This window comes from Homo sapiens, chromosome X (genome assembly GCF_000001405.40).
Source record: "Homo sapiens chromosome X, GRCh38.p14 Primary Assembly".
Taxonomy (NCBI): domain Eukaryota; kingdom Metazoa; phylum Chordata; class Mammalia; order Primates; family Hominidae; genus Homo; species Homo sapiens.
This window is the reverse complement of record NC_000023.11, coordinates 105732604-105752243: the sequence shown is the minus strand read 5'-3', so window position 1 is coordinate 105752243 and position 19640 is coordinate 105732604. Positions and strand designations below refer to the sequence as shown.

At 36.2% G+C, this 19640-nt stretch overlaps 1 protein-coding gene and 1 long non-coding RNA gene across 5 annotated transcripts in view; one reads left to right on the top strand and one right to left on the bottom strand.

Moving 5' to 3' along the window:
• The window catches only part of IL1RAPL2 (interleukin 1 receptor accessory protein like 2), a 1201631-nt gene that overhangs the window by 15586 nt on the left and 1166405 nt on the right, over positions 1-19640 (bottom strand). For both annotated transcript variants that reach the window (NM_017416.2, XM_011530905.3), the window contains 2 exons: positions 11553-11698; positions 3141-3284 (listed from right to left, as the gene is read on the bottom strand). In NM_017416.2, the coding sequence (NP_059112.1) occupies positions 3141-3284; positions 11553-11698 (290 nt within the window). The remainder of the gene's footprint in view (positions 1-3140; positions 3285-11552; positions 11699-19640) is intronic.
• LOC105373303 (uncharacterized) overlaps positions 1-19640 on the top strand; it is a 135721-nt gene that overhangs the window by 45109 nt on the left and 70972 nt on the right. The gene's annotated exons all lie outside the window — the stretch shown is intronic.

Here is a 19640-nt window from a genome sequence, read left to right as displayed (position 1 = left end):
TATATACCTACTACCTACTATAGTATGTGTGTGTGTGTGTGTGACTGCAGTGTTGATCCAGATGAAGAATATAAGTAAATGCGTCATGCATAGTCCCTGCCATTTAGTAGACACTTAAATATTTAATGACTGAAAAACTGAAAGGTTAAATAAATGAAGCAATCATTGGTGGGGTGAAATAAAATGAATTAAATTTTAAACATGGCTAAGAAGTTAAAGTTTGTTGGATGGATTTTATTTTATACAAAATCAGGCATTTTTATAATAACTTTTAGGAAATACTATTATAGATATTGTCATAGAGCATGAAGAAAAAGCATATGGTTAAAATTAAGTTGTGTCTATGTTATGTCAAAATATTTCAATAGTGAAATGAAAAACTTGATAGATTATCTGGATGACATTTGGCATTCTGTAACTGTAGATTTCCAAAAGGCAGTTAAAATTCATTTATTCATTTTCACCATATACATGTTGACTTTTTAGTATTCCACTGAAGCTAATACAGAGGTTATATACTTAAAGTCCAAGGTTCTATGCAGAAAAATAAAATATTTTAACCATCCTTCCTAATGAAAACACTTGAAGTACCCTCTCCCCATATTGCATTTCCCCCCAAACAATGAATTTGGAATCAATACATAAAATTATGTAATCAAAATGCTCTATATTACTGGACACCTTTGAAACCATGAGCCACATTGCAGATAAAGATGCAAAGTGGAATATTTAATTCCTGAAAAATTATATCATATCAGCATAAAATTAATCTTACAAATATGTACTACAACTGATCAGTTAGTCTAGGTTATTGGGTATCAGTGATGAAGGTAATTAATTATTGTAGATTAACATAATAAATTGTATAATCTTAGAGATTAACAAACTGCATATTATCAGGACTCAAAACATATTAATCACAGAAGCCTCCCTTTCATATTTTTATTTATTTTATTCTTTTTTCTTTTAGATACAGGGTCTCACTCTGTCGCCCAGGCCAGAGTGCAGTGGTGCGATCATAGCTCACTGCAACCCTGAACTCCTGGATTCAAGCGATTCTCTTGACTCGGCCCCCACGACTATCTGGTACCAAAGGCATGCACCACCATGCCCAACTAATATTTTTTAAACTAATTTTTGTAGAGATGAGGTCTCCCTATGTTGCTCAGGCTGGTCTTGAACTCCTGGGCTCAAACAATCCTCCTGCTTAGGTCTTCCAAAGTGCTGAGATTTTGTGAGCTACTGTGCCTGGCCCCTTTTATGTTCTTTTACATAGATAATACATCTTTTACCTTCACAATTGGATAGTTTAGCCACTTGCTGGCACCTGGGAACCAGGGACATTTCCCTCAGTAACACATTCTCTCTAGTTTTTTTTTCTGTGTACAGATAAGAAGTCAAGATTTTTCAATATTAACTGTTGTATAGAGGAAGAACTGAGGGTAATTGATCATATTTCCATATATATTGTCAGTGTATACAATAATTATTGGAATAGGCCTTAATTTTTCATTTCTAAGATATGTCTGAATAAGAGTCTGTAGTACTTTTAAACTGGCTGCTGTAATTGCTGAGTAAATGTGTAGATTTGAAAATGAGCAAATGAGCATGCATATGTACTCATCAAAAAGCATTTCACGCCAGGTGCAGTGGCTAATGTCTGTAATCCCAGCACTTTTGGAGGCTAAGTCCAGAGGATTACTTGAATGCAAGAATTTGAGACCAGCCTAGGTAACAAGGTGAGACCCTGTCTTTACAAGAAATAATAATAATAATAATAATAATAATAATAATAATAATAAATTGGCCAGGCATGGTGGCATGCACCTGTAATCTCAGCTACTCAGGAGGCTGAGGCAGGAGGATTGCTTGAGTACAGGAGTTCGAGGCTGCAGTGAGCCAGGATTGCACCACTGCACTCCAGCCTGGGTGACAGTGAGACTCTGTCTCAAAAAAAAAAAAAAAGACAAAACAAAACAAAACAAAAAACACACATTGCTTTGCAGTTAACAAAAAAAAAAGAATTTCTGTAATTTACTATGAAAATATGAAAGTCAATTAAAACCCACCCATATGATCATTCACATAATAGTAACAATAAGACCAAAATCAGATTCCTCAAAAATTTTGACATTACATCTATCACTATAAAATTAAAATCAAAACTGTGAATTTCTCTTTTTTGAGGTAAGACCACCAACTCAAAAAAATAAACAAAAGCCTCAACCTTACTTATTTTGGTACAATGAAAACTCAGTTTTAAGTCTGTCTTTTTAAACTAATGTTTTCCAAATTGGACTACTTTCTAAAAAATTTTTGGCTTACCTGTGGCATTCTATACACATTTCCAAGGCTTACAGCAGTTTCGGGATGAGAACTTTATGTATAAGAAGCTACATGCCATGATTTCTTATTGATTTTGATTGGAAACATGGCAGTTTGTACTCTTGAAAAAAATTAAATCATTTTAAATGTTCAAAGAAACAAAGCTCAGTACACTGCTTTATCGATATTTCACTCATAAGATTTTCAAAATTCATAAACAGCAAATATAAGAAAATTATGAGCTACACTCTGAATTTTTATTCTTTCAGGTCACCTTTGAGAATGGTGCTATAAGCATTCAAAATATGTAGATACATGTACTTTGAGCTTTAAAAGGATTGTCTCCATAGCTTTCAATCTGTTTCTTGCATGATTGCTTGTTTTGTAGATGGCAGCAATGGCTATAAATGATCTGTACTTAAGTTTGCATTTTCTGAAAAAAATTGGAATTGATTCTTAATTTGCTTCTTACTAAGGGGGAGGGATTTGACAGCAATTGTTTTATCTCCTGAGCAACTAATGTCTCATTGTTAAACTTTTTATTGGAAATAAAGTCAAATGTATAGGAATATTATAAAAATAAAACCATTTCAAAAAACATACATAGCATTTACTCAGATTTACCTATTGTCAATATATTCTCCTCTTTTCTCTTTTTCTTGGTAAGTCTTCTAAACTATTTAAAGGTAAGTAACTTGCCATAGCCCTTTACCCCTAAATATTTCAGCTTATACTTTCTAAAAATAGGGAAGTTCTCTTACATAATCACAAATGCATGCCGTTTAATGGAATTTGAACAATAGAAGACAGCTTACCATCATTAGTTTCATCAGCTCCAAAGTGCTGCCTGTAGAAGAGCATCAATTCAATGTTGTAGCATTTGTAAATGACCACCAGCAGTACAAGGAGGAGGAAGATTGCTCCCAGGCCCCCTGCAAGCTCAATTTTATAGATTAAATCTGGAGCGAACAGAATAAACAGGAAAAGGTAATTAAATCAGCAACACTTGGGATCTTCCCATATTTCTAGTATATAAGATGTACTAACATTCTGTTTTCCTTTCCAGAAAATTCTTGCTTAATGCAGTAGCTTTGCTCTTGATACATTTGTATGAATCAAATTTTTGTAAAATAAACTATTTAAAATTTGATTAATTTACTATTAAAAGTGGTAAGTCTATCTGAAAAGGAATAGTTGCTCTCAATTCGTTTTGAACGCATCTAAGATGTCACATATATGCTTTTGCTCTAAATGTATTTCAGGGAACTATTAAAGCTACTTTATTCTGGGTCCAAGGCCAATATTTTCTTATTTCTGTTTAATTATCTTATTGGTTTAGCAAGATTACCATCTAGTACTTCTCAGGCCACAGGCCCTATTCTTTTGCAGAACAACATCATAAAATTACTTTCAGAATCAAATAAAATCTAATGAGTTTGCAGGATTTAACTGTTTCATTTAACCCCAGTAGAACATAATCCAATATAAGGTAAGCAGGTAAAATTAGCTTATCCATTTCCCCTACTTATTTGAATAAATGACTGTAATAATATATATGTGATATAATATGCCCAATGGAGCTAAAACAGAATGAGAAATCCAGGCTAATCACTTGGCCTCTTCAGCCAACACCAGCCTACCTGATAGCAGACTTAGGCTGCTCCAGGGGGGCATCCCTAGAACTCTGAGCATTGGAACAATTAAATCAAAATATAATGGAAGAAGACATAATGTCTCCCAGGCTCAGGGAACAGTGACTTAACCTGTAGTTAATCAGTGATATTAATAAATATAAAGAGTGTATCATCAAAAGATGGTATGGTATCATGAAATTTAGAGAAAATGGGAAGTCAGAGGAGAATCTAGAATGTGAGTTCAGCAATGTCCATAGGAAAAATACTGAATCTGAGAGACATCAGACCAGAGACGTATTTTCCACAGGGACATTATCGGTCTCATTATAATTAGATAAAATTACCTACAAGATTACCTAACCTCCCTTTAACGTAATTACATAATTACCAAGTGACTATTTTAGTACTAATTCAGCTTACCATGTAACTGGAAACTGGAAAAGAGAGAGACAATCTAGTTTGTACATCAGTTCCTTGTGAGTTTAGTTGGCATCAGTCAGTCTTCCTGGATGGATCAATTCTGGGGCACTGTCAAAATCAAATTGCTGACCATTGACAGTCTGTCACTCTTGAAAGCCAGACTGTCAACCTTTCTCTAGGAATGTCCCTTATGTCTATACAGGATTATTGCTTAAGAGAAATTAGCCAGGCTCAATATAACAAGATCCATTTAGTAGTTTATATTTTATAAAAAAGAATATATATATATGTGTGTATATATGTGTGTATATATGTGTGTGTGTGTGTGTATATATATATATATATATACACACACACACACACACACACACATACACACACACAGAGAGAGAGAGAGAGAGAGAGAGAGAGAGAGAACAGCCAATCAGGAGAGTCATAGAATGGAAATGTAAGAAACACAAATAAATGTCACTCTTTTTGAGTATGGAGAGAGGGGGAAGGATAGAAAAAGGAAGAGAGTGGGGCTGCTGTGAAGGACAAAATATGCCAACAAGGAATATTGTGAGGGCACACACAATGAATAGGGGTAGGAAATTGGAATATGTGTCTGTCATGCCTGCTGCAGGAGGTGGTCTTTTAAAAAACTAAGCCACAAAATTTCAGGTAAAAAAAAAATTTCACCACATAATTAGCAATGCTTCCTGCCCTCTATGTAAAACGTGGCTCTCCAGGAACCACTACCTTCCTCTGCCTCTGCCTATGTTGGGGATAAAGCAGGCTTTCTTAAGAAATCTCTGTGGGCTGCAAATCACAATTTTTACTTGTTTTCTCACCATCTTATATACACCATCAATTATACATTATTAAAAGCCAATTTTAAATAGAGCAATACAGTTTTCTTTGTTACTCTGAAAACTGACTTCTCTTTCATCTTGGGGCATTAATTGACTTGATTCAAAAGGTTTTTCCTGTTTTAAGATGTTCACTTTATGCTATAAATTTTTTGGTCTTTCTGTCTCTCTCTCTGGTCAGAAGAGCTTTCAAATGTTTTAAAAGTCGTGGAATGGGAAGTTTTTCAGCAATTTCTATGTTATTTACAGAGTAGAGTTGCTATTAGGTAGATGGAAAACTTCAGCAGCAGGAACAATTTGTGCTCTCAAGTAGCAGATATTTTTTCAGCAGTAAATTTATGGAAGAAAACCATGGTGAAAAAAGTACCTTTGTGATTTTGGGGTCCATTTTATAAAAATGTCTTTGAAAGATATTATGTAATGATGGCTGTTCAAGTTGAAAACTGTGAACCTAGGCCCAGAGACTCAACCAGATTCTTTGATTCAGCCCAGGCAGTCACATCAAAAGGGAAACATCTATCCTATAATCAGAGGGCAGAATTGCCATCACCCTAATGACACCTGGATTTTCTTTTGTCTTCTATTTTCAATTGCAATTTTCAATCTCAGCAGGATCTATACTTCTAGGGACATTTACTGACTAAAAAATGGAAAGTTATTTTAGTTGGGCTGTGTCTTGTATATGCTTCACAAAGAGAGCTGTAGCAAGAACAGCAAATATTTATGGGCTTGTAACTTTTTCTAGGCACCCAAAGTACATGTGTAGCTCTTTTTACCTTCTTAGTTTGAACCCACCTATTTCTTCACTGTGAACACAAAGATCAGACATTATAGAATGGGACAAATAGCAACTGAAGCCAAGGGACTGGAGAGAGGGAATGCAGGGAATGTTTGAGCTTGCTCCTCTGACTCACAAGTTGGGAAGCAGGTTAGGAGATCCCACCTGAGGGCTTCTGTCATGGTCTGAATGTTTGTTCAAAATGCATATGTTGTAACCTAACCCCCAAGGTGATTATATAAGAGGGAGGCCTGGCCAGACACAGTGGCTCAAGCCTGTAATCCCAACACTTGGGGAGGCCGGGGCAGGAGGGTCGCTTGAAGCCAGGAGTTTGTGACCAACCAGGTCAACAAAGTGAAGCCCTGTCTCTACAAAAAATTTAAACAATTAGTCGGGCATGGTGGTGTGTCTGTAGTCCCAGCTACTCTGGAGGCTGAGGTGGGAGAATTACTTGGGCTCAGGAGTTTGAGGCTGCAGTGTGCTATGACTGAGCCACTGCATTTCAGCCTGGGCAACAGACTGAGACCCTGCCCTGTTTCTAAAAAAATAAAAAATAAAAAACGAGGGAAGCATGTGAGAGGTGATTAGATCATGAGGGTAGAACTTTCATAAATGGGGCCTGTTATAAGAGATGCCTGAGGAAACCTGTTTGCTGCTACTGCCATGTGAGGACACAAAGAAAGTGCCATCTATGCAAAATGGGTCCTTACCAGATACCAAATCTGTTAGTACCTTGATCTTGGTCTTCCTAGCCTCCAGAACTGTGAACAATCAATTTCTGTTGTTTATATACTATCCAGTCTAAGGTATCTTGTTATAGCAGCCCAAATGGACTAAGACAGAAATTGGTACTGAGAAGTGGGGTGCTGCTGTAACAAATACCTAAAGTTGTGGAACCAGCTTTGGAACTGGGTAATGGATAGAGGGTAGAAGAGATTTGAGGTATATTGCCATGAAAAGAGCCTTAAGGGCAATTCTGGTGAGGGCTTGGAAGAAGAGAGCTGTAGAGAATTCCTCAGTCATCTTAGAGATTGCCTAAATAGTCGTGATCAGAATATTAGTAGAAATATGAATGGTGAAGGCCATTCTGATATCTCAGACAAAAATGAGGAACAGGCCCCTACCAGACATGAATCTGCTGGTGCCTTGATCTTGGACATCCCGGCCTCTAGGATTGTGAGCACTAAATTTGTAATGTTTAAAAATTACCCAGTCTAAGGTGTTTTGTTATAGCATCCTGAGTAGGCTTAGAAAGTTTTCTATTCAGGTATGGTGGGACAGAGTGAAGCAGCAGCACTGAGAATGAAGAGAGAGAGATTCAATGATATGCCCCTGTTTTATGAGAAAGGAAGTATGTGCAGAGAAACAGAAATAATTATCAGAATTTCTTGAACCTAAGTTCAGACTCTTGGCTCACCAAAGAAAAAATTTAGGATGAACTTCTTACTGAAATGCTAGTTGCACTTACTGGCAAATTGTTCACCTGAGAATAAGGAAGTGGTAGGTGCAGACAGAAGACAGATAGGTAAGAAGATGGATAGGTTACAAAACTTGATCCTGTTAATTGGATATATTAGATGTGAGTTTTCATTTTACAAAAGCCCTTTTCACTTAATGAAAGGATGCATCATGTTTCTTCTCCATGATGATCACTTAAGGCATTTTAAATATTTGACTTACAGCTCATCAAGAAGTTATTGTTCCATAAAACAAGCCATACTAGTATTCCAAGTAGGAATACTACTGCCAATGAGGCCAGGCTATGATGTGATAAAGCTTAAAAGGTCCAACTCCAAAGGAAATATCTTAAGTTTCTCAAAACAAGCCAGAGCTTGTTCTGACTTAAAAAAATTATGACAGTTCCATAAGGATTCTTGCTCTTTCTTGGGCTTCCACTATATTGTCAGAAGCTCCTAAGGAGACCAAGTGAGGGAAGATTAACTGCATACTTTTGTAAAGCACAATGAAATCATTTAACTGCTACCTAGAACGGAGAGTACAAACTGGTATACTATGGGCCAAAAAATTGGTTTTGTTGGATCACACAATGTTTCAAAAATGAATACTAATATTTAAAAATTAAAAGACATCATATCCAGTCTTTCAGCTTCACTTGAAAACTTCAAAGCTCTCATATCCCTGGGCATATATTCCAGCAAAAACAGCAGTAATCTTATAGAACAAAGTAGTTGTTGCCCTTTTAAAGCAAGGCATGTTTTCTCTGGTCTATGTTTTGATTTTGTCTAATATCCAGCCCTCTTCTTAAAAAATTCAGTATTTTCCTGGGACCTGAGGTCTTTTGAGTTTGCGAACCCTGGAAAGTAAACAATACTTGAAAAGAAAAAATGCATTTAGCTAATTCAGGGAAGACATTAGTCATGACAAAATCACAGATCAAATCTTCTTTTTATCAATCCCTGTTATCTATTGCTCACCTGATTGTGCTTGTCCTCTATGAGGAGAATTTTCATTCAAGAAATAGTTTTGAGCACTTATTATGTTTTATGCACTAGAGATACAGCAGTAAATACAGCAAGAAAAGTTCCTGTTCTCCAGTATTCCATATTTTAGTGGGGGGGAAGAAAACAAGAAGCAAACAAATATGTAATATAATATCCAATAGTAATAGACAAAGCAAAAATAAGTAGAGACAGGTTAGAAGAAAAAGAAAATGAAAGGTAATATCATTTTATATAGGATGGACAGAAAATACCTATGAAGAAGGTAACATTTAAGTAGAAATCTGTATGAAGGGAAGGAGGGAGTCATGGAGACAGCTGGAGGCAAGAGTGTTCCAGACAGATGAAACAGCAAGTGCAAAGGACCTGAGGCAGGACTGTGTTTGGTGAACATGAGAAACAGAAAGCAGGCTAGTGTTATAATGTATGAGGAAAATTGTGGTAGAAAATGAGATCAGATGTAAGAACAGATTGTGTAGTGCCTTATAGGACATGATAAAGTTTTGGGATTTCATTCTTAGTGGAAAGGGAAGGAACTGTGAATGGAGGGTTCTGATCAGGGGAATAACATGACCTTACTTACATATTTAAATGATCCTTCTGACTGTTGTGATAAGAATAGACTGTGAGAGGAAAAGGGTGGAAGCAGGGAGACCAGTTAGGCTGTTACCATGATCCAGGTAATTGGTGCTGGTGGCTCAGAAGAGGATGTGGGTAGTGAAGGTGGGAAAAGTGTTCAGAGTCTAAATAGGCTTTGAAAGTTAAGCCATGGGATTTGCTAGTGGAGTAGATATAGGATGTGAGTAGAAAAAAGAGAAAGTGAAGAATGACTCCAAAGATTTTGGCATGAGCAACTAGAACAATGGTGATGGAGATGGAGAAGGGGACTGGAGGATCAGGTTTGTAGGCAGGAGAAATTAGGAATCCTGTTTGGGACAAGCTAAATTTGATATGCCTGCTAGATCTCTAAGAAGAGTTGTTTAGTAGGCAATTGAGTATACAGGTGAGAAGTCCAGGCTAGATATAAATTTGGGAGTAGTTAGCATATAAGTGGTAAGCAAAACCATGAGATGGAGATAGAATGAAATCACCTACTGAATGAGTGAGAAGAGGGGACCTGAACCCTGGGGAACTCCAATATTTAAATATTTGGAAGATGAGAATTAACATTGTCAGTTAACATGACTTAGACCAGTTTTCTTGTAGAAGCCTTGGGTGGTAGCAGAGTATTACAGTGTGTCTTGGTTTGTAGTGTCAAATTTTTAGAAATTTTTAGGGGCTGCCTTGTGTTGCTTTACTTATTAAAGAGAAATGGATTTATTTTAAAACTCAAATAAGGTTATTTCTGTCCACATGGGCTGATTGATAAGACACCCCCCATTATTTTTCCTCATAGCAGGTTTTTAATTATAACACTATGTATCTTTTGCGGAATTTTAAAAAATGTTTAATCTTGGTCTTTCTTTGCATTCTCACTCCTCCAAAGAGTATAAGCTCCAAGAAGACCTGGGTATGTCTATCTTATTCAGCATTCTATTCCCCAGCACCTATCATAGTGCTGGCTATAGCTAAGTCTTCATTAATAAAAGAAAAAATTAGCCATTTATTTGACCAGAATGGGTTCTAAGTGCTTATTACTAGCTAGACACTGCTCAAGTTGATATCTCTGAGGATACAGAGGTATAGCAGCAGGCTCTGATTGGAGGATCTCTAAGCCCGAAATAAGACTGAGATGAACAGAAACAAAGTGATCCTTGCCACAAGGTGTTTGGGCATGATCAATACCTGCCCTTCATGTGGTTCCTAAGTGGTTACCTAGGATAAATTATCCAAGTTCAGTATAATAATAAAGACTGTTTGGTCATGGCATATTTCACACCCATTATATCATTATTATTTGAACCTCAAAGTGACTCTGCAAGGTAGGTATTATTAATCCTATTTTAAAGATAAGAAAACTAAGGTTTAGGGAGTCTAATAAGACAAGTCAGTCCTACTGAACCAGGATCTCCTGAATCTGGGTCTTCTGACTTTACTTTCTCTTTTAGACTTCTTTACACTTAAATATGCCTTTATTTTAAGATAAAATCAAGTCTAATGGAGTACGAAGTGGTGCTAGAGATATAAACGCCTTATTTTCAGAATAATGATTCCTCTCTGCTTCTTCAAGAGCTGCTTGTCATTGTCAAGTATTAGGGCTGGCTGGAAAATATAAATTCCATCCTGGCCAGGAAGTACAACTAAGTGACCTTGCTGATTGAATCTGTTCTATTATTGCTCTAAAACGTGGGCAACAAGAACACTGATTGAGAACATTTGTTCTGCTACATTTGCAAAGCCTTTGCCGGATGTACATATACAAAAAGTATTTACCCTTTTGTAGCAATCAAAAGCCATAGCAAGGTAAGAGCCAATTCAGAAGCTACTCTAGCTGCTGAGATTGTTTGTTGTTCGTATATCTGTTTTTTATCTCCTTTATATGTAAATTTAGAGTTTCTTTTCTTTGTTCATTATATACAATTTCCACCCCGTCTGGAACCAACTTGAGAAAGGGATGCCAAAATATTTAGAAATATATGCACCTGATAAAGATCTCTTAATACCAAGTCATATCATAAAATATGGTTTATAATTTTTATGATAACAATTGTAAGCATATTATATGGGATTATTATTTTTTTATTTTTTAGTCAGGGAATAAAAAAGCAACTGTGTTTCTCATCCAATAATAAAATCTCTTGCATTTCATTTAAGCAATATAAGATATAAGAAGGCAAAATGTGGAGAAAATATTGAATGTCAAATATATATCAAATTTTATGTAACACTTATAACTAAGGTACAATTTATATCACTGGATTTAACATATGACAATACTTCATTTCATTTATCCACTTCCTAATGGTATTGAAGATCATAGGTATTTTATGCTAATATGCAGAGCAAGAGAAATATCTTTCCTTGAAAAGACAAAATGGTTAATAAAGGTTTACACTACATGATAAAATAAAGCCAGGAAATATCTCTAACTTCAATAGTTGTTGATAGCTAAGCAAACCATAGTTATAGTTATAAAAATAAATACCCTTTTTACGCAGCAAAACACTGGCATGTTTCCGTCCATTTCGGTTTTCAACATGGCAGGTATAATTCGCCAGGTCAGCTTCCACAACTGAGTCAAAGATGAGTGCCAATTCAACTTCTTTTTCTCCAAGATGCTCTTTGAGAAGCCTGAAATAAAGACGGTATTCTTGGCTGAATTGGCTTGATTTGGGGAGAAAGCAGCCATGCCAAGACTACAGATGGTCACACAGCTCACACAGGTCTCTGATGATGGGCGTGGAGAATCCTGGCTGGGTGTATGTGTGGGTGGGACCTTCTACAAGAAAACACAAAAAGTGGCTCTTGACATGAAGATAAGATGGAAAAGAAAAGAAGTGAATAATTCACTTGGCAAAAAGAAATATTATTGCGTCTATTTGATTCTTCTCTCTTTTTTTCTTTATTAGTCTTGCTAGCGGTCTATCAATTTTGTTGATCCTTTCAAAAAAACCAGCTCCTGGATTCATTAATTTTTTGAAGGGTTTTTTGTGTCTCTATTTCCTTCAGTTCTGCTCTGATTTTAGTTATTTCTTGCCTTCTGCTAGCTAAAACACATGAAAAACTGCCCATCATCACTGGCCATCAGAGAAATGCAAATCAAAACCACAATGAGATACCATCTCACACCAGTTAGAATGGCAATCATTAAAAAGTCAGGAAACAACAGGTGCTGGAGAGGATGTGGAGAAATAGGAACACTTTTACACTGTTGGTGGGACTGTAAACTAGTTCAACCATTGTGGAAGTCAGTGTGGCGATTCCTCAGGGATCTAGAACTAGAAATACCATTTGACACAGCCATCCCATTACTGGGTATATACCCAAAGGACTATAAATCATGCTGCTATAAAGCCACATGCACACGTATGTTTACTGCAGCATTATTCACAATAGCAAAGACTTGGAACCAACCCAAATGTCCAACAATGATAGACTGGATTAAGAAAATGTGGCACATATACACCATGGAATACTATGCAGCCATAAAAAATGATGAGTTCACGTCCTTTGCAGGGACATGGATGAAATTGGAAATCATCATTCTCAGTAAACTATTGCAAGAACAAAAAACCAAACACCGCATATTCTCACTCATAGGTGGGAATTGAACAATGAGATCACATGGACACAGGAAGGGGAATATCACACTCTGGGGACTGTTGTGGGGTGGGGGGAGGGGGGAGGGATAGCATTGGGCGATATACCTAATGCTAGATGACGAGTTAGTGGGTGCAGCGCACCAGCATGGCACATGTATACATATATAACTAACCTGCACAATGTGCACATGTACCCTAAAACTTAAAGTATAATAAATAAATAAATAAATCGTAAAACATTTCTGGCATTAAAAAAAAAGAAATATTAACATGCCACTAGGCTTTGATAAATAAAGTCAGCATGGCTTGTATGGTGAAAAGGAGGAAACACTGGGTTCCAAGCTCTAAACTAAGATCATGGAAACTAATTGGATTTTTGCATCATGGCATTAAGGGAAAAAATCTGTAGGAGTATAGGTTTTGTGGTAGAGGTTAGAGTTTTGACAGTAGTGAGGTAAAGGTGTAAAGAAGGGGGCCTTGAATATGGTTGCCTTATGAGAAGCAAATTGAAGATTTTTAGTGGCCTTCTATCTCCATACATTAGTGAGAAGCCTGCTCTCTGCTTTTCTCCTGGCTTTTGTCCAATGCAGTAATGTGCTCTGAGCCCTAATCCCCCAAAAATGCTAACACCCCCATGACCCTGATTTCTCCAGACACTGCTCCCCATCTGTCCCTCTGCTTTCTGCCCTCACAGGAGAAGCCCTCTGCAACATTTTCTCCTAGCCTTGCTTTTTTTAAAGCTGCAAAGGATCTTGTATGGCCAGGAACAGATGTTCTTTGCAGAGGGGCTGAATTGCTTGGGTTATTTCCTGAAGAGTGCGCCTCCTGTTTCTTTGGAGAGTTATACTGTCAACAACGACCAGCTACCTTCTGGGTGAGATGAAAATGGGTACCCTGTCAACTTCTCTTTTCTTTCTCTTGCCTTTGGCCAAAGAAGGAGCAAATCATGGGTCTACATGGTGACAACCCTGCAGTTTAGCTCTGGAGTAGGTTCTTAAATACATATATTTTTCAATCATGAAATATTTTAGATGGGAAATTGGAGAAGCAGAAGTAATTCTCATCTTCTTTTTGGACACCTGGTTATAAATGCAGGGAATATCCCTATGACTTACTGGCACTCAGCATAAAATTGGAAACATGACTGCTTAGAAAAAAACTGGGCTCTAAGTACCCGCCTCCCAATTACAACAAGCTCCAGCTTGGTCTTTACAAATCATTAACTCAATGGTGCCTTAATTTAACTCATCCTGAAACTGTAAAATAACTACCATACGCACTTTAACTTTGTTGTAAGGGTAAAATGGGTTAAAGTGATTTGAAAAGTAAACAGCACTATGCATATGTAAAGGTATGTTATTAAACACAAACATTTCATTATCTGAAGGTAGATTGTATTTTAGCTACTCCAAAAATATTTGTATTTACATTTACTGACATTTAAGATTGGCTTGGCTTAACCTCTTCTGCTTCCCATTTGAGAGCAGGAAGGGCTTAAAGTTGGGTTGGTGGAATGGAGTTTCTAAAATCTGAGTCTCTCATACTAAAATCTCAAGCCCTTTACATTTATGTACCATCACAGAACCAGACAAGTATAAGAATTTTCTTAACTGCATTTGGGAGACCACATCTTATGGTTAGTTTTTCTATAAATTGTTTTTATTTTTCCTGACTAAAGTTGTAGTTTCTCTTTTTCTCTTCTCTCCCAACATGTACCTAACCAAGACAAAATTGGGAATTTACTACTTTCATGGTTTATATTGACTTTTGCTGTTTTTCTCCCTGATGTTGGTAAACAACACCACACTCAATTATTTTAGCTCTGTGTAACCTGCTGTGGAAGAACCCCCTGTAGTTCCAGAAGCTGCGTAGGCACCACAACTTCATTTTAATTTGAAGCTTCACATGGAGGGCAGCCATAGCCTCTGCCAGGCACAGGGTGGAAAGCTGATCCTGTTCTTCCAAACCAAGCCTTTCCTTCTTCTAATGCAGTTTCCAAAAACAGCTCTTCACAGGCTGCAGAAAGAATCTGGAGAGAGGATTTGAAAAATGATCCTTGGTTCATCTATTAATATATATGAGGTGTCTTAATTATCAGCTCCTGAAAAACCTAGGTGACTTGTGTTTTTTGGAATTAAAGATCAAAATGGTGTTTATGACTACAAATCACTCAACAGAGCAGTCATAATTTTCTAGCAAATATATTATTTTTAATTTTAATTTTAGGTTCAGGGGTACATGTGCAGGTTTGTTTTATAAATTGCCTGTCACAGGGGTTTGGTGTACAGATTATTTTATTACCTAGGTAATAAGCATAGTACCCTCCTGCCACCCTCCAAGACTCTCAAGTAGGCCCTGGTGTTTGTTGTTTCCTTCTTTGTGTTCAAATGTACTCAATATTTAGCTCCCACTTATAAGTGAGAACATGTGGTATTTGGTTTTCTGTTCCTGTGTTAGTTCACTTAGGATAATGGCTTCCAGCTCCATCCATGTTGCTGCAAAGAACATGATCTCATTCTTTTTTTATTGCTGTGTACTATTCCATGGTGTATATGTAGCACATTTTCTTTATCCAGTCTACCACTGATGGGCATTTAAGTTGATTCCATGTCTTTGCTATTGTGAATATTGCTGTGGTGAACATAGCCATGCATGCATCTTTATGGTAGAACAATTTATATTCCCTTGGGTATATACCCAATAATCCAATAATGAGATTACTGAGTTGAACGATAATTCTCTTTTAAGTTGTTTGAGAAATTGCCAAACTGCTTTCCACAATGACTGAACTAATTTACATTCCCACCAGCAGTGTACAAGCACTCTCCTTTCTCTGCAACCTCACCAACATCTGCTATTTTTTGACTTTTTAATAATGGCCATTCTGAATGGTGTGAGATGGTATCTTGTTGTGGTTTTGATTATCATTTCTCTAATGCTTAGTGATGTTGAGCATTTTTACATATGCTTGTTTGGCTGCATGTATGTCTTCTTTGGAAAAGTGTCTGTTCATGTTCTTTGCCCACTTTTTTATGGAGTTTTTTTTTTGTTTTTAATTTTTTTAAGTTCCTTATGGATTCTGGATATTAGTCCTTTGTCAGATATATAGTTTGCAAATATTTTCTCCCATTCTGTAGGTTGTCTGTTTACTCTGTTGATAGTTTTTTTTTTTTCTGTGCAGAAGCTCCTTCATTGAATTAGTCCCATTTTTCGAATTCTGTTTTTGTTGCAATTGCTTTTGGCATCTTTGTCATGAAATCCTTGCCAGATTCTATGTCTATAATGCTATTTCCTAGGTTGTCTTTCAGGATTTTTATAGTTTTTGGTTTTACACTTAAGTATTTAATTCATCTTGAGTTGATCTTTGTATATGGTGTAAGGAGTCCAGTTTCAATCTTCCGTGTATGGCTACCCAATAATCCCAGCACCATTTATTTAATAGGGAGTCCTTTCCTCATTGCTTGCTTTTGTCAACTTTGTCAAAGATCAGATGGTTGTTGATTGGTGGCATTGCTTATTATGTTCCATTGGTCTATGTGTCTGTTTTTGTACCAGTACCATGCTATTTTGGCTACTATATTCTTGTAGTATAGTTTGAAGTCAGGTAATGTGATGTCTCAGGCTTTGTTCTTTTTGCTTAGGATTGCCTTGGCTATTCGGGCTCTTTTTTGATTCCATATACATTTTTAAATAGTTTTTTCTAATTCCGTGAAGAGTATAACAATCCATAAATGATTCTTTTCCAATATTTAGTAAGTGCCTGGCTCTGGGCTATATATTTGGCATACAAGAAATAGAAACATTAAAAGATGTGGTCCCTTCTTCCATTAAACTTTAAAATTTAAATGAGGAGACACGATGTACACAGTTGCAGAAAATTACAGAAAGAATAAGGCAAAGCAGGGTGGTACACTCATGCTTACAACAGTATGTCTGTTGACTAAGTTATCCAAAAAATGCTTAAGAAAATTCTCACTAAATGAAAAGAAGGGAGGGTTTTCCAGAATAGAAGACAAGAGTAGGTTTTTGCAGAATGTGTGAAAGAGAGGTATTAAAGAGACTGGTTTCAGAGTCGAGGTTATAAGGGAGGAATCCTGGGATATATTTCATATGACCTTAGAAGTATCTCATTCCAAGTATTGATATTATGTGGGAGGGTAAGAACCACATACATTTTAAACTGATTATTGAAACAATAGATATACAAAAAAACTCACTTATTTAATATATACAATTTGATGAGTTTGCACATATGCATGCATCCATGGCAAGTGAGGGAGGGGTAGTAACCAGAGGGGTCTAAATATTAACATTAAAGGCAAGTTATAGTAGCAGTGAACACTGATACAATAGAAAGTAACCAGTTCAGGTGACAGACATCACTATATTCCAAAATTTTATTTAGATTGGTACTATTAGTACAAATTAATACTATAAAGAGTTTGGAAATTGTTCCTCTCATTCTCACAAAAAGAAAAAAGTGAACAAACTGAAAATTATCAACTTTTCTTAAATCCCTCAAATAACAAGTCACAGGGCAAACTTCTGCCCCAGAAAGTTGAGAGAAAGGCAAATGCAGAGAATCACAGCATACTGGAATGAGATCCCCAGGAGCAAAGCCAGTACCACCACAAACACTTATAATGTAATAGATAAATTCCTGGAGACCCACCATGAACTATCTTGAGAGTTAAAAACACCATGAGACCTATATTTAGGGGGACCCCACAATTTTGTGAGTTTTGCCTACATAAGCGCTACTAAGTTCTTACTGTGAAGATTGGAAAAAGGTTCCCTTATGCTTCTGGCAGGGGGAAAGGGAAAAGTGACCATTTTAAAATGAGCCCAGAGCACTTTGTCCTCCTTTTAAAAATGCTTGTTGACTCAGTGTAGTGGTTCATGCCTATAATTCTAGCCTTGGGAGCCAAGGCTAGAGGATCACTTGAGGCCAGGAGTTCAAGACCAGCCTGGGAAACATAGCAAGACCCCATATCTACAAATAATAATTTTAAAAAATTAGCCAGGCTTGATGGTGTGCACCTGTATTCCCAGTGAGGCTGAGGTGGGAGAATCACTTGAACCTTGGAGTTAGAGTTTGCAGTGAGCTATGATTGTGCCACTGTATACCAGCCTGGGTGACAGAGCAAGATCCTGTTTCTTTTCTTTTCTTTTTTTAAAAGCTTGCTCTCAAGGGAAACCACTTTATCATGACCTAAACTACTTAGGTTTTACCAAAGCCTAGCCCACCTGGGAGAAGGGAAATGACTACTCTAGCTTTCCTCTCACCTAAAGGGATGGGGGAAGCTAAGAAACACTTATGAAGGTAACATACCAGGGGCACAAGCTCACTAAAGGCAGTGACATCATAGAATTTTGAAATATGTTCCACAACATCAATCAGGCTCCTGTATAATAATAAGGGATTTTATTTGCAAAAAAAAAACCTGCAAAGCTCAGGCCCTATTTAAGAAGTAATCTCGAGGAAAATTCAAACAAGACAGTGGAGACAAGAACAAAAACACTAGAGGGAATTTCAGCCTCTGACACCTATAGCTATACCAAAGAGTAAACACAGTCTAACTTTTAGTCAGATAAACATAAAATCTCACATTAAAAGCCTATTTACTTCAGTTACTTTTACCCAATACATCATATCTGGCTTTCAACAAAAAAGTAACAAGGCATATTAAAAATCAAAGCAAAGCAAAACAAAACAAAAAATCCCCACAGTTTGAAGAGACAAAGCAAACATTCAGAACCAGACTCAGATATGGCAGAGATTTTGAAATTACCAAACTGGAAATATAAGATAACTATGATTAATATATTAAGGGCTCCAATGAAAATAGTGGACAACATATATCAACAAATTAGTAAGGTAACCAGAGATGGAAACTCTAAGAAAAAAATCAAAAGGAAACTCTAGAAATCAAAATATGTTGACAGCCAACGAAAGAATCAATGCATTTGAAGATATGTCAATAGAAACCTCCTAAACTGAAATTCAAAGAGAAAAAAGGACAAAAAATAATGTAAAAAATGTCCAAGAGTTTAGGAACAATTACGAAAGAAGTAATATGCATATAATAAATACCAGAAATAGAAGAAAGGAACAGTAGAAATATTTAATTAATAAGCTTGGAAAATTTTCTAAAATTATTAACAGACACCAAACTACAAATCAAGGAAGCTCCAAGAACACAAAGCAGAATAAATACCAAAAAACCTACACCTAGGCATATCATTTTCTAACTGCATAAAATTAAAGACAAAATCTTGAAAGAAGCCAGAGGGGTAAAAAGAAATACCCACCACACCTATAGATAAACAAGAATAGGAAATTCATCAGACTTCTCTGTAAAAATCATGCAAGCAAGAAGAGAGTGGGGTGAAATATTTAAAGTGTTGAAATAAAACAATTACAAACCTAGAATGTGATATTCAGTTAAATTATCCTTCAAAAGTGATGGATAAATAAAGACTTTCTCAGACAAACTAAAACAGGGAATTTGTCACCAGTCAACCTGTGTTGGAAAAACTGTTAAAAGATTTTCAGAGAAAATGAAAGTGATATATATCAGAAATTTGGATCCACATAAAGAATAGTGTTAGAGCAGGGATAAATCAAAATAAAATATTTTATTTTATTATTCTTATTCCGTATCTAACAGGCAACAGTTTGTTCAAAATAATAGCAATCATGTATTTGGTAATTATAGCTTATAAATAGGCAAATTAATGACAGAAATGTTAAAAAATGGTGGAATTGGAAATACTCCATTATCATGCACCAGCACTACTTGTGACATGGTATGGTGTTATTTGGAAGTGGACTTAGATTAGTTAGAAATGTATTTTGCAAACTCTAGAGATACAATTAAAAATTTGAAAATATAATTGATATGCTGTTTGAGTTCATTCTCACATTGTTATAAAGAAATATCAGAGACTGGGTAAAATTAATAAGAAAA